We start from the raw sequence: 14185 nt of genomic DNA on the forward strand, positions 1-14185 counted from the left end.
GTTGGAAATTCTTTTCTTTAAGAATGTTGAATATTGGTCCCCATTCTCTTCTGGCTTGCAGGGTTTCTGCTGAGAGGTCCACTGTTAGTCTGATGGGCTTCCCTTTGTAGGTGACCTGGCCTTTCTGGCTGCTCTTAACATGTTTTCCTTTATTTCAACCCTGGAGAATCTGATGATTATGTGTCTTGGGGTTGATCTCCTCATGGAGGATCTCAGTGGTGTTCTCTGTATTTCCTGAATTTGAATGTCGGCCTGTCTTGCTAGGTTGAGGAAGTTCTCTTGGATAATATACTGAACTGTGTTTTCCAACTTGGTTCCATTCTCCCCATCTCTTTCCCATACTCCAATCAATTGAAGGCTTGGTCTTTCCACATAGTCTCATATTTCTTGGAGGCTTTGTATGTTCCTTTTCGTTCTTTGTTCTCTAATCTTGTCTGCATGCCTTATTTCAGCAACATGGTCTTCAAACTCTGATACCCTTTCTCCTGCTTGGTTGACTCAGTTATTGATACTTGTATATGTTTCACGAAGTTCTTGTGCTGTGTTTTTCAGCTCCATCAGGTCATTTATGTTCCTCTCTAAAGTGATTATTCTAGCTAGCAGCTCCTGTGACCTTTTATCAAGGTTCTTAGCTTCTTTGCGTTGGGTTAAAACATGTTCCTTTAGCTCAGTGGAGTTTATTATTGCCCACCTTCTGAAGCCTACTTCTGTCAATTCGTCCATCTCATCCTCCATCCAGTTCTGTGCCCTTGCTGGAGAGGATTTGTGATCATCTGGAGAAGAGGCACTCTCACCTTTTGGGTTTTCAGCGTTTTTGTCACTGATTCTTTTTCATCTTCATGAGTTTGTCTAGTGTCAATCTTTGAGGCTGCTGACCATTGAAGTTTTCTGGGGCCTTTTCTCTTGTAGATGCTATTGTTGTTGTTTTCTGTTTATTTGTTTTTCTTATAATGGTCAGGTCCCTCTTCTGTAGGGCTGCTGTGGTTTGCTGGGGGTTCACTTCAGGCCCTATTCATCTGGTTCACTCCCACACCTAGAGATGTCACTCGAGGAGACTGGATAACAGCAAAAATGGGTGCCTGCTCCTTCCTCTGGGATCTCTGACCTTGAGGAGCACTGACCTGATGCCAGTAGGAATGCTGCTTTATAGGGTGTCTGACAACCCCTGTTGGAGGGTCTTACCCAGTTGGGTGGCACAGGGAGCAGGACCCCTTTAACGAAGCACTTTGACTGTCCCTTGGTGGAGGGGGTATGCTTCCCTGGGGGAAACGCACTGGTCTGGGCTGCCCGGATTCCTCAGAACTAGCTGGAGGAAAGACTAAGTCTGCTGGTCCGCAGAGCTGCCACAGCTGGTGTGTTGGCTGTGGAGGATACCCCCTCTGACCAAGCTGTCCAGCCTCCCCAGCTGCATCAAGGGAAAAGTGCAGCCTGGAGCTAAAGAGATGGCTGCTGCCCTTCTCTCACCCTGGGAACTTATTGTGTTAGGCAGCTATCAGTCCCAGACTTTGTTGTCGCCCCTTCCCCAGGGAGCTCAAACAGCTTAGACAGCAGGTAGCCGCAACTGTGGTGCTGGTCGCCCCTCCCCGCTGGGAGCTCACAGGCTTAAGCAGATTCTAGCTGATTGGCTATTGAGAATCTGTGCAGCTCCATGGTTAGGACCCTAGGCCCTGGTGGTGGGCTCACAAGTGGGATCTTCCAATCCGTGGGTTGCACAGTTCCATGGACAAAGCACGGTTTCCCAGGCTGGGTGGCACGCTCACTGACAGCCTCCCTTGACTGGGGAGTGGGGGCTCCCCTGCCCTGTGTCATTGTGGCTCTCACGTGGGCTGCCGCACCACACTGCTCTTCCTGCCTCTCTGTGGGCCACACCAGCGGCCTAGTGAGTTGTGATAACAGAGCCTGGAGACCTCGGTTGCCAGTGCAGGATTCGCACTTTATGTTATGGTTCTTTTCCACGGGAGCCCCCAATCGCCACTGCTTCTAGTCAGCCATCTTGGCTCCACATGGCTCGACTCCAAGATTTTAAATGATTGCAGGATTTTTTCACCAGAACAGCTGTGTGTTTGTTTTCCCCGGTTACATTGTTACAATTGAGGTTTATTTGAATCAGTGCCATGTCCTCACTTTTTCAAGTCCTCTGTTTCAGTTAGGATAATTTTGCAACAGGTAAAAAATTACTCAGTAAAGAGTGATATAAGCCACACAAATATTTATTACCTTCCCTATCAAGAAATCTGCAAGCAGGCTGTAATGAGGTTGGCCAGTATCAACACTATCAGCAAGCATGTTAACTTTTTCCATGTTTCTGATCAGGCATCCTCAGTATGTTGGTGATGCTTCCTTCGTGGTTACAAGTTGGCTGTTCCAATTCCAAGCATTGCATCCCAAAAAGCAATATCCAAAGCAAGAAGCAAGGAATAAGGCAAATAGAGAGTTTTTCCTGTGTACTACTGCCTAATTTATGAGAGTAGAAAATTTTTCCCAGAGACTTTACATCACATTGACAAAGAACTGTCCTAGTTAGTTACTGGGCAAAGAAAAATGACATTTTCATGATTGGCTTAAATTTATCTTAATTCATTCCAGAGTTGGATGGAATTCACTATAACTGTCAGAAAATCAGAAGTCTTTCACTAGGAGAAAAAGGGGAAAGAGCTGCTAGATGAGCAATCAAATGCCTTGGCCAGATACTGATTTTGCATTTATTTTCCTTGAATAACTTCCAATCCACCTATATTGGTGGTATACTCTACTACATAAACCCTGGTCCCAAGTTTAGATTATTAATTCTGTAAGTCGCAAAGTTCAGATCTTACAATAGATTGTACATGTAGGTTAGATTCCTTAAATATTCAAAGTAGCCCTATTGGTACACTTAGTCATTTATTCAACAAATACTAATTAACCCTCTTCTATGTCAGGCACTTCTTTGGGGGCTGAGCAGTGAACAAAAATGGCAATACTTTCTTTCTTCATGGAACGTATGTTAGAATGGGAGGGGATGGGTATTAAGTGAAATAAAACATTGCACACCAGATTGTGATAACCGCCATGGAGAATGTTAAGAAAGGGATAGGGAGTATAGGGGGTGCAGGGGTGGAAATTGCCATTTACATTGGGTGATTAGAAAGACCTCACGGAGAAGATGACATTTAGTAAAGATGAATGTAGTCATGTAGGTGTCTGAAAGAAGAGTGGTCAGGACTCAGGGTGCAAAAGCTGTGAGTTGGGAGTGATCCTGACATGACAGCTAGGAGGCTGTGGCTGGAGAAGTGCATGGGAGGTAGGGCAAGCATTTAAAGGAACGAAATCGGAGAGGTCAAGTGGTCAGATCACACAGATCTTATAGGCTGATGCAAGGACTTGGTCTTTTGCTTTGAATGGCACAGGAAGTGATTGGAGGAGGTTGGGTAGAGAAGTGACTTAATCTTGCTTAGATTTTTTAAAAAATCACTCTGACTGCTTTGAGGGGAAAAAAACTGTATGTGGAAAAGAGAAGAAGCAGAAAGATGGCCTCGGAGATCATTGCAATAAAACAGGAAAGTTAGTGGCTTAGGTCAGGCTGATATTAGCAGAGGCAGGGCTTCACTAGTGCGTTAGATGTGGGGTATGAGAAAAAGATAGGCTTCAAGTATGACTTTGGGTTTGGAGCTTCAGTAAATGAAAGGATGGAGCTTTTATTTACTGAAATGAAACAATGTCAAGGAGCAAGTGGGGGAGGGAGAAAATTAAGCATTCAGTTTTGCACATATTTAAGCTCAAGACGCCTATTAGACATCCAAGAGGAGATGCTGCCTGTGTTGCATGGGTGAGTAGTCTGGAGCTCAAGGATGAAGAGAATGCAGTTCACATACACATGGCAAATAAAGTTGTAAAGTCCAATGAGATCATTAAGTATATGAGGTCAAATAGAGGATAAATGATCCAAGGATTAGGTCCTAAACATTTTAATGTTGACATACAACCAGAAAGAAGATGAAAAAAAAAGTCTCAGTGAGCCGTGAGGACTTCTAGCAGAGGGTAGTGTCTTAAGAGTGTTTCAAGTAAAAGGAATGATCAACTTCAAAAAAATGCTGTTGATAGATCAAAATATGAACTGAGACTCTAAAGAGTTTAGCTTGAGGAAGGGAGAAAAGTGAAGTGATTACCAGTTGTGCAAAGATTAAACACTCATAAAATCTTGTTTACATTGTATTGACTATGAAGTGAATCATTCATGATTTCCTATAATTATCTTTTCTTTTTGTCATTTTAGTATCCTTACAGACATTTAAATTGCTGTCAGCAATATTTTTATGCTTTACTCTAATAAAATCTGATTTAGAAAATCTAATCAATTAGATATTTTAGGCCTAATCATTGACATTACAAATGTACTACGGTTTTACAGAATGATGAGCCACAAATGACAAGCACATTCATTTAATTTACAAAAATTGTACTTGTCTGTTGCCTTTCAGAAGCCATGTACTGTATAAACTTAGGCACAGAGGCCTTCCTAATAGATGACATTGAATTTCTAATGGGAACTTCTGCAATAACAAATTCATCACATCCAAAGCATACCTCTGCAATATTTCACTTTGTCATTGGCTACACTTTTCTAAGCTCAGTGATGCTCACAAAAGCCATAGGATATCATTTGGCCTGAATCAAGAGCTTTACATTTCCAAAGAAGAAAGAGAATGTCAAATCCCTGCTAAAATTTAATAATCTATATTCCTCAAATTTTTTGTTCCAATGTGTACTATTTCATATTGTTTCTCATTACATTTTTCCTAAGATATTCATTTTTTTCTGGTAACTCTATATAGCATGTAACAAAACTAATATTATATCATGATCAAAATCTAAATATATATATATACACATTAAGGAGGCATGCTCTGGGAACTATTAGAAGTTGTCTTCTATTTTATGTCATCCTCTTTTTCAAGTCTGATCTCTGTTAGACAGCTATTTTTCTTCTGCAGCTAATATAACATTTATGTGGAGGGAGATTTCTAATTTTACTTTATTGGTGTATAAATGTGTCATTTCATACAACTAGCTGTTTTTCTTTGTTGTAACTTCTTTCTCTCTGTTTTAGCCTGAGGCTTTCCTCTTTATTTGATCAGTATAGTTTATATCATATTCTAGGCAGCACCCCTTCCCAGGAGAAAAACAGGGTTTCAAATTGCTACTCATGATTCCTAAGGCAAATGGAAAGGGTGCCTCCTGAATTAATGTTTTCTTTACTATTTTCATTGGTTATTGGTTTTATTTCCATCAGCTGATGGATACATTTATTTTCTACCTTTTAATATCATTCTCTCTCTATGACTGCCAATTGTTGTTTTGGCTTGATTATTTATGGTTGGCTGTATGAGTGGTTAGATGGAAAAATAATCAGTGTGAGGACTTGGTGACAAAATTTGAATTAATTTTTCAATAAATAACTAAAAGGTATTTGGGGTGTATTGAGTTCAATTTTTTTGATTGGCTTCTGAGATAAATGCTTCTTTTAAGGAAAGAGAGTTGGATTCTATGTTTTCTAACACTATTCACAGCTTATAGGGATTACATTTACCCTTAAAATATATTATAGGATCTATTTTTATGAGTATTTCTGCACATGGCTGTCTGACAAAACAATGTATTAGCCAGACCTAAAAAATTTTTTATGCATCCTCATCCCCAAATTTAAAAGAAAATATGTACCATTGTAGAACATGGAGGAAATATTCAACTACTTCTGATAGGACTTAGTTTCCTTTATTAGTCAAAAGCAAAAGAAGTATCCTGAAATATATTCCCACTATAATAATCACTCACAGAAAGAATTTTTTTTTTTTAAAAAGCTAAGTTCTCAATAAACTTGCATGAATGCTGAGAGAAAAAGAAGCAATATGGACACCCTGAGAGTCAGATGTGGTCAAGAGCAGAGATAAAAATGGGGGCCAGGACTGAACATCCTTTTCACAAGACATAAGCAAAGTCCATTGTATCCCTTCCCTGGAGGATGGTAAATCCATGTGGAATCATTTCCAAAATGAGTATGAAGCCCTAGGTCCTTTTCCATGCTGATCTTCTATACTACAGAAGTCTATATTATTAGAGGTAGTCATAACAAAAAAAATGCTTTTATATTACCTCATTATTTTACCTTTTTGTCACAAATCTATCATTAGATAAAAGAATGTCCAAACTTCCCTATGTTTCTATTATGTGTCAGGCCTCTGAGCCCAAGCCAAGCCATCATATCCCCTGTGACCTGCACGTACACATCCAGATGGTCAGTTCCTGCCTTAACTGATGACATTCCACCACAATAGAAGTGAAAATGTCCTGTTCCTGCCTTAACTGATGACATTGTCTTGTTAAATTCCTTCTCTTGGCTCATCCTGGCTCACTAGCTCCCCTACTGAGCACCTTGTGACCCCCACTCTGCCCGCCAGAGAACAACCCCCCTTTGACTGTAATTTTCCCTTACCTACCCAAATCTTATAAAACGGCCCCACCCCTATCTCCCTTCGCTGACTCTGTTTTCAGACTCACCCTGCCTGCACCCAGGTGATTAAAAGCTTTATTGCTCACACAAAGCCTGTTTAGTGTTCTCTTCATACGGATGTGCATGAAATTTGGTGCCATGACTCGGATCGGGGGACCTCCCTTGGGAGATCAATCCCCTGTCCTCCTGTTCTTTGCTCTGTGAGAAAGATCCACCTACGACCTCAGGTCCTCAGACCCACCAGCCCAAGAAACGTCTCACCAATTTCAAATCCGGTAAGCGGCCTCTTTATACTCTCTTCTCCAACCTCCCTCACTATCTCTCACCTTCTTTCTCCTTTCAATCTTGGCATCACACTTCAATCTCTCCCTTCTCTTAATTTCAGTTCCTTTCATTTTCTGGTAGAGACAAAGGAGACGTGTTTTATCTGCGGACCCAAAACTCCGGCGCCAGTCATGGACTAGGGAAGGCAGCCTTCCTTTGGTGTTTAATCATTGCAGGGACACCTCTCTAATTACTCACCCACGTTTCAGAGGTGTCAGACCACGCAGGGACGCCTGCCTTGGTCCTTCACCCTTAGTGGCAAGTCCTGCTTTTCTAGGGGAGGGGCCAGTACCCCAACCCCTTCTCTCTGTGTCTCTACCCCTTCTCTGCTTTTCTGGGGGAGAGACAAGAACCCCTCAACCCCTTCTCCTTCACCCTTAGCAGCAAGTCTCGTTTTTCTGGGGGAGGGACAAGTACCCCAACCTTGTATCTCTTCACCCCGATCCCTTATTTCTGTGCTCTGACATCTTGTATCTCTGTGCCCCGATCCCTTATTTCCATGCCCCAACCTCTTATCTCTGTGCCTCAACCCCTTATTTCTGCACCGCGACCCCTTTCCCACTTTTCTGGAAGATAAGAATCCCCGAACCCCTTCCCTCCATGTCTCTCTCTCTTTTCTCTAGGCTTGCCTCCTTCACTATAGGCAACCTTCCACCCTCCATTCCTCCATCTCCCTTAGCCTGTGCTCTCAAGAACTTAAAACCTCTTCAACTCACACCTGACCTAAAACCTAAATGCCTTATTTTCTTCTACGATGCCACTTGACCCCAATACAAACTCGACAGTGGTTCTAAATGGCCAGAAAACGGCACTTTCAATTTCTCCATCCTACAAGACCTAAATAATTTTTGTCGAAAAATAGGCAAATGGTCTGAGGTGCCTGACGTCCAGGCATTCTTTTACATCCGTGCCTCCCTAGTCTCTGTGCCCAATGCAACTTGTCCCAAATTTTCCTTCTTTCCCTCCCACCTGTCCCCTCAGTCCCAATCGCAAGCCTTGCTGAGTCTTTCTAATCTTCCTTTTCTACAGACCCATCTGACTTCTCCCCTTCTCCCCAGGCTGCTCCTCACCAGGCCGAGCTAGGTCCCAATTCTTCCTCAGCCTCCGCTCCTCCACCCTATAATCTTTTTATCACCTCCCCTCCTCACACCCGGTCCGGCTTACAGTTTCATTCCGTGAGTAGCCCTCCCCCACCTGCCCAGCAATTTCCTCTTAAAAAGGTGGCTGAAGATAAAGACATAGTCAAGGTTAATGCTCCTTTTTCTTTATCAGACCTCTCCCAAATCAGTGAGCATTTAGGCTCTTTCATCAAATATGAAAAACCCAGCCCAGTTCATGGCTCGTTCGGCAACGACCCTGAGACGCTTCACAGCCCTAAACCCTAAAAGGTCAAAAGGCCATCTTATTCTCAACATTTTATTACCCAATCTGCTCCCGACATTAAATAAAACTCCAAAAATTAAATTCTGGCCCTCAAACCCCACAACAGGACTTAATTAACCTCACCTTCAAGGTGTACAATAATAGAGTAGAGGCAACCAAATAGAAACATATTTCTGAGTTGCAATTCTTTGCCTCCACTGTGAGACAAACCCCAGCCACATCTCCAGCACACAAGAACTTCAAATGCCTGAACCGCAGCTGCCAGAGTTTCCTCCAGAACCTCCTCCCCCAGGAGCTTGCTACAAGTGCTGGAAATCTGGCCACTAGACCAAGGAATGGCCACAGCCCGGGATTCCTCCTAAGCCGTGTCCCATCTGTGCAGGACCCCACTGAAAATTAGACTGTTCAACTCACCTGGCAGCCACTTCCAGAGCCCCTGGAACTCTGGCCCAGGGCTCTCTGACTGACTCCTTCCCAGATCTTCTCAGCTTAGCAGCTGAAGACTGACACTGCCCCATCACCTCAGAAGCCTACAGGACCATCACAGACACTCTAGGTAACTCTCACAGTGGAGGGTAAGTCCGTCCCCTTCTTAATCAATACAGAGGCTACCCACTCTACATTACCTTCTTTTCAAGGGCCTGTTTCCCTTGCTTCCATAACTGTTGTGCGTATTGATGGCCAGGCTTCTAAACCTCTTAAAACTCCCCAACTCTGGTGCCAACTTAGACAATACTCTTTTAAGCACTCCTTTTTAGTTATCCCCACCTGCCCAGTTCCCTTATTAGGCCGAGACACTTTAACTAAATTATCTGCTTCCCTGACTATTCCTGGGCTACAGCCACACCTCATTGCTGCCTTTTCCCCCAGTTCAAAGCCTCCTTCACATCCTCCCCTTTTATCTCCCCACCTTAACCCACAAGTATAAGACACCTCTACTCCCTCCTTAGCGACCGATCATGCACCCCTTACCATCCCATTAAAACCTAATCAATCTTACCTGGCTCAATGCCAATATCCCATCCCACAGCACGCTTTGAAAGGATTAAAGCCTGTTATCACTCGCCTGTTACAGCATGGCCTTTTAAAGCCTATAAACTCTTCTTACCATTCCCCCATTTTACCTGTCCTAAAACCAGACAAGGCTTACAGGTTAGTTCAGAATCTGCGCCTTATCAACCAAATTGTTTTGCCTATCCACCCCATGGTGCCAAACCCATATACTCTCCTATCCTCAATACCTCCCTCCACAACCCATTATTCTGTTCTGGAACTCAAACATGCTTTCTTTACTATTCCTTTGCACCCTTCATCCCAGCCTCTTTGCTTTCACTTAGACTGACCCTGACACCCATTAGGCTCAGCAAATTACCTGGGCTATACTGCCGCAAGGCTTCACAGACAGCCCCCATTACTTCAGTCAAGCCCAAATTTCATCCTCATCTGTTACCTATCTCAGCATAATTCTCATAAAAACACACGTGCTCTCCCTGCTGATCGTGTCCGATTAATCTCCCAAACCTCAATCTTTTACAAAATAACAACTCCTTTCCTTCCTAGGCATGGTTAGTGCAGTCAGAATTCTTACACAAGAGCCAGGACCTCACCCTATAGCCCTTCTGTCCAAACAACTTGACCTTACTGTTTTAGCCTAGCTGTCATGTCTCTGTGCAGCAGCTGCTGCCGCCCTAATACTTTTAGAGGCCCTCAAAATCACAAACTATGCTCAACTCACTCTCTACAGCTCTCATAACTTCCAAAATCTATTTTCTTCCTCATACCTGACGCATATACTTTCTGCTCCTCGGCTCCTTCAGCTGTACTCACTCTTTGTTAAGTCCCACAATTACGATTGTTCCTGGCCCAAACTTCAATCCGGCCTCCCACATTATTCCTGATACCACACCTGACCTCCATGACTGTATCTCTCTGATCCACCTGACATTCACCCCATTTCCCCATATTTCCTTCTTTCCTGTTCCTTACCCTGATCACGCTTGATTTATTGATGGCAGTTCCACCAGGCCTAATCGCCACACACCAGCAAAGGCAGGATATGCTACAGTATAAGCCACTAGCCCGCCTCTTAGAACCTCTCATTTTCTTTCCATTGTGGAAATCTATCCTCAAGGAAATAACTTCTCAGTGTTCCATCTGCTATTCTACTACTCCTCAGGGATTATTCAGGACCCCTCCCTTCCCTACACATCAAGCTCGAGGATTTGCCCCCACCCAGGACTGGCAAATTAGCTTTACTCAACATGCCCCGAGTCAGATAACTAAAATACCTCTTAGTCTAGGTAGACACTTTCACTGGATAGGTAGAGGCCTTTCCTACAGGGTCTGAGAAGGCCACTGCAGGCATTTCTTCCCTTCTGTCAGACATAATTCCTCACTTTAGCCTTCCCACCTCTATATAGTCTGATAACAGACCAGCTTTTATTAGTCAAATCAGCCAAGCAGTTTTTCAGGCTCTTAGTATTCAGTGAAACCTTTATATCCCTTATGGTCCTCAGTCTTAAGGAAAAATAGAACGGACTAAAGGTCTTTTAAAAACACACCTCACCAAGCTCAGCCACCAACTTAAAAATGACCGGACAATACTTTTACCACTTTCCCTTCTCAGAAGTCAGGCCTGTCTTCAGAATGCTACAGGGTACAGCCCATTTGAGCTCCTGTATAGATGCTCCTTTTTATTAGGCCCCAGTCTCATCCCAGACACCAGACCAACTTAGACTGTGCCCCAAAAAACTTGTCATCCCTACTACTTTCTGTCTAGTCATACTCCTATTCACGGTTCTCAACTACTCATACATGCCCTGCTCTTGTTTACACTGTTTCTCCAAGCCATCACAGCTGATATCTCCTGGTGCTATCCTCAAACTGCCACTCTTAACTCTTGAAGTAAATAAATAATCTTTGCTGGCAGGACTATGCTGAATCTCCTTAGGCACTCTCTAATCAGATGTCCTGAGTCGTCCCAATTCTTAGACCTTTTATACCTGTTTTTCTCCTTCTCTTATTCCATTCAGTTTTTTAATTCATATAAAACTGTATCCAGGCCATAACCAATAATTCTAAATGACAAATGTTTCTTCTAACATCCCCACAATATCACCCCTTACCACAGAATCTTCCTTCAGCTTAATCTCTCCCACTCTAGGTTCCCACGCCGCCCCTAATCCCGCTTGAAGCAGCCCTGAGAAGCATCGCCCATTCTCTCTCCATACCACCCCCCAAAAATTTTCGCTGCCCCAAACTTCAACACTATTTTGTTTTATTTTTCTTATTAATATAAGAAGGCAGGAATGTCAGGCCTCTGAGCCCAAGCCAAGCCATCATATTGCCTGTGACCTGCATGTACACATCCAGATGGCTGGTTCCTGCCTTAACTGATGACATTCCACCACAAAAGAAGTGAAAATGGCCTGTTCATGCTTTAACTGATGACATTGTCTTGTGAAATTCCTTCTCCTGGCTCACCCTGGCTCAAAAGCTCCCCTACTGAGCACCTTGTGACCCCCACTCTGCCCGCCAGAGAACAACCCCCTTTTGACTGTAATTTTCCTGTATCTACCCAAATCCTATAAAATGGCCCCACCCTTATCTCCCTTCGATGACTCTTTTCGGACTCACCCCACCTGCACCCAGGTGATTAAAAGCTTTATTGCTCACACAAAGCCTGTTTAGTGGTCTCTTCACACAGACGTGCATGAAATTATGCATGAGTAATTTTTCCTAGAATATTAACTAAGCCATTAAAGTTCAACCAAGGCCTAGTTCTCATAGCCATTGGTTGCCACCAAAGTATAAATATACCTCATTCTGGCGTTGAAATGCTAAACTCAAGGAGCTAGGGTACTATCATGCCATTATAACACATTTTGGATTTGAATGTAACTCATCCCAAGACCAAGTACCACCCATCCACAGGTTAGAAAGCCAGATGGATACCTGTTTCAAGAGAATCCATTTAACCCAACCACCTACATCAATTTAAAGTTTAATTTGGATGATGGATGAATTGGTCTTAACCTTTTATCTTTAATATACCATAATTCATAACTACTTTGAGGATGTGAGTACATTTAGTCTTCCACAGTTACCTTAAAATGAAGTACACTGGTAGGGAAGTGCTATTGTTTCACTGATTATAAATTACAATAATAAAATTAATGTCAAATGTCATTTCAGTATATACTTTATTACCATGGTAACCCACAGGTAAGTGAGTTGGTAAAATTGCAAATTACATATTCCGCTATTTAAAGACGTCAATGAACTAAAGTCATTTAATCAAGCTTCTCATTGCCTGTGCTATGTAATCAAGACGACCCGATTAAAGTCAAAGCCAGAAAGCCACAAGCTCCCCACTCCTTGTCTGGCATTTCTGCCATCAAGTTCAGTCTGGCTCATGGCTGTATGCTATATTTTGTAAGCATGTTAATAGAGATTTGTTTTCTTGAGGGGATGGGGTCACAGTACAAAAGTGATTTAACTCCCAAATGGAAATCAGAGGAGGTCAATTTCCTCTTTTATCCCTCAAATGCACACACCATAAGAACCAGGGCATATCTGCTTCCCACAGAGAGAAACTGGTAGAGCCTTAGACTTTTTTCTCTGTTCTATCCAACCCTTGCCACTGGTCTCTCTTCCAGGCTACTCCATGGTCAGTTAGACCCAGATCAGAATTGACCCCTGTGGTTTGTTCCTTTCAGGTTAGGTATAGGGAACTGGGGTGGTCTCCAGCTTCCTCCATCACCTACTCCTCTATCCTGATTCAGGGACAACTTCATGATGTCAATCCCAGGAATTTCTTGGCACCTGTCAAAGAGTACATCCTTTAATTGCCCTAAATATCAGTCCATATACAATCAGGCACACAATATGTGCTCCACCACTGAATTCTTAAAGGATCCACACTTCTCCAGACTGTCTTCAATGGCCACTTAAACAAAACTGGGTTGTAACTTTCAGAGGACATGGAGCAAGTAAAGTGAATTAACCTATTTGTCTTTTTAGAGTTGAGCTGTAGTGATGCATGGGCATAGAAACGGAGAATTCTCTCTGGAAACACAGAAGCATAAGCCCAAGAATTACTACTCGCCTGTGAGATTTGCATGAGTGATGCTTATTAATGTAATCTTAATAGGAAACAAATTGACATAAGACCTCTTTCTTATCCCCAAGTAGCTTCACCAGCAGATGAAGAGAGCTCTTCAGTCACTCCTGAAATTCCTTGAAAAGCCACAGGCATTGTTACCCCGGCAACATTCTATAAGAACAAATCTTGACCCACATGAGAGGTCAAGGCAGGGAATGTGGAATTTACAAAACAGAATAAAGCCTATTCGGAAAAGGACAGTTTAACTATGCTCAATTGTTAGACCCCTCATTTTTCACTCTGAGCAATACTTAAAGTAATTTCTAAATCCCAGACTGACTTGCAGTACTATTTTCATACAGTTGCACTTCCTCCACCCACCCGCCTTGGGTGTAGAGATACAACCCAGCTCAGCAAGATTTCTGGTGTGGCAGGGGAGCAGACCTCCTGGCTCCCCAAGGTTTATGCACCAAGTACAAAAGAGCTAGAGTTGGTGATGATGGGACTTAGGGGATGAGACCTCTCTAAAGGACCCCAGGGCTGCAATCTGGATGAAGAAACTTCCATGCACTGTGAACAAATAGGCCCAGAGGAGATGGTCATACCTGACCTGAAACTGCCACCTAGGACCTATAGCACTTCAAAGATCACTGACATAAGGAGCAAGTCCTTCTAGAAGGACCCAGAAACCCCTTCCTCCCACTGCCCTGAGGTCACATGCATCACCTAGACACATTTTGGAGAAAAGTGAGAGGAAGGGCACAGAACTCTGGAAGCCTGAATTTTACCTGAAGCAAACAGGAAAAAGCTGGGTTATCCAAAGAAACTTTGCAAGTCTTTGCCTCAGCTCAGACAGAGTTTATGGACTAAACTAAATTTTTTGG

At 43.0% G+C, this 14185-nt stretch overlaps 4 annotated features.

Moving 5' to 3' along the window:
- Positions 6081–6672: an enhancer, noted in NCBI's record as "OCT4-NANOG-H3K27ac hESC enhancer chr5:123832600-123833191 (GRCh37/hg19 assembly coordinates)". NCBI's record gives its function as "activates a minimal SCP1, AML or CMV promoter by ChIP-STARR-seq in primed H9 embryonic stem cells {active_cell/tissue: H9 hESC(primed)}" and the evidence as "EXISTENCE:reporter gene assay evidence [ECO:0000049][PMID:30033119]".
- Positions 6673–7263: an enhancer, noted in NCBI's record as "H3K27ac hESC enhancer chr5:123833192-123833782 (GRCh37/hg19 assembly coordinates)". NCBI's record gives its function as "activates a minimal SCP1, AML or CMV promoter by ChIP-STARR-seq in primed H9 embryonic stem cells {active_cell/tissue: H9 hESC(primed)}" and the evidence as "EXISTENCE:reporter gene assay evidence [ECO:0000049][PMID:30033119]".
- Positions 11357–11942: an enhancer, noted in NCBI's record as "NANOG hESC enhancer chr5:123837876-123838461 (GRCh37/hg19 assembly coordinates)". NCBI's record gives its function as "activates a minimal SCP1, AML or CMV promoter by ChIP-STARR-seq in naive H9 embryonic stem cells {active_cell/tissue: H9 hESC(naive)}" and the evidence as "EXISTENCE:reporter gene assay evidence [ECO:0000049][PMID:30033119]".
- Positions 13902–13951: an enhancer, noted in NCBI's record as "active region_23009". NCBI's record gives its function as "activates an Ori minimal core promoter by ATAC-STARR-seq in GM12878 lymphoblastoid cells {active_cell/tissue: GM12878}" and the evidence as "EXISTENCE:reporter gene assay evidence [ECO:0000049][PMID:35858748]".

The sequence above is a fragment of the Homo sapiens genome, chromosome 5 (assembly GCF_000001405.40).
Source record: "Homo sapiens chromosome 5, GRCh38.p14 Primary Assembly".
Lineage (NCBI taxonomy): Eukaryota > Metazoa > Chordata > Mammalia > Primates > Hominidae > Homo > Homo sapiens.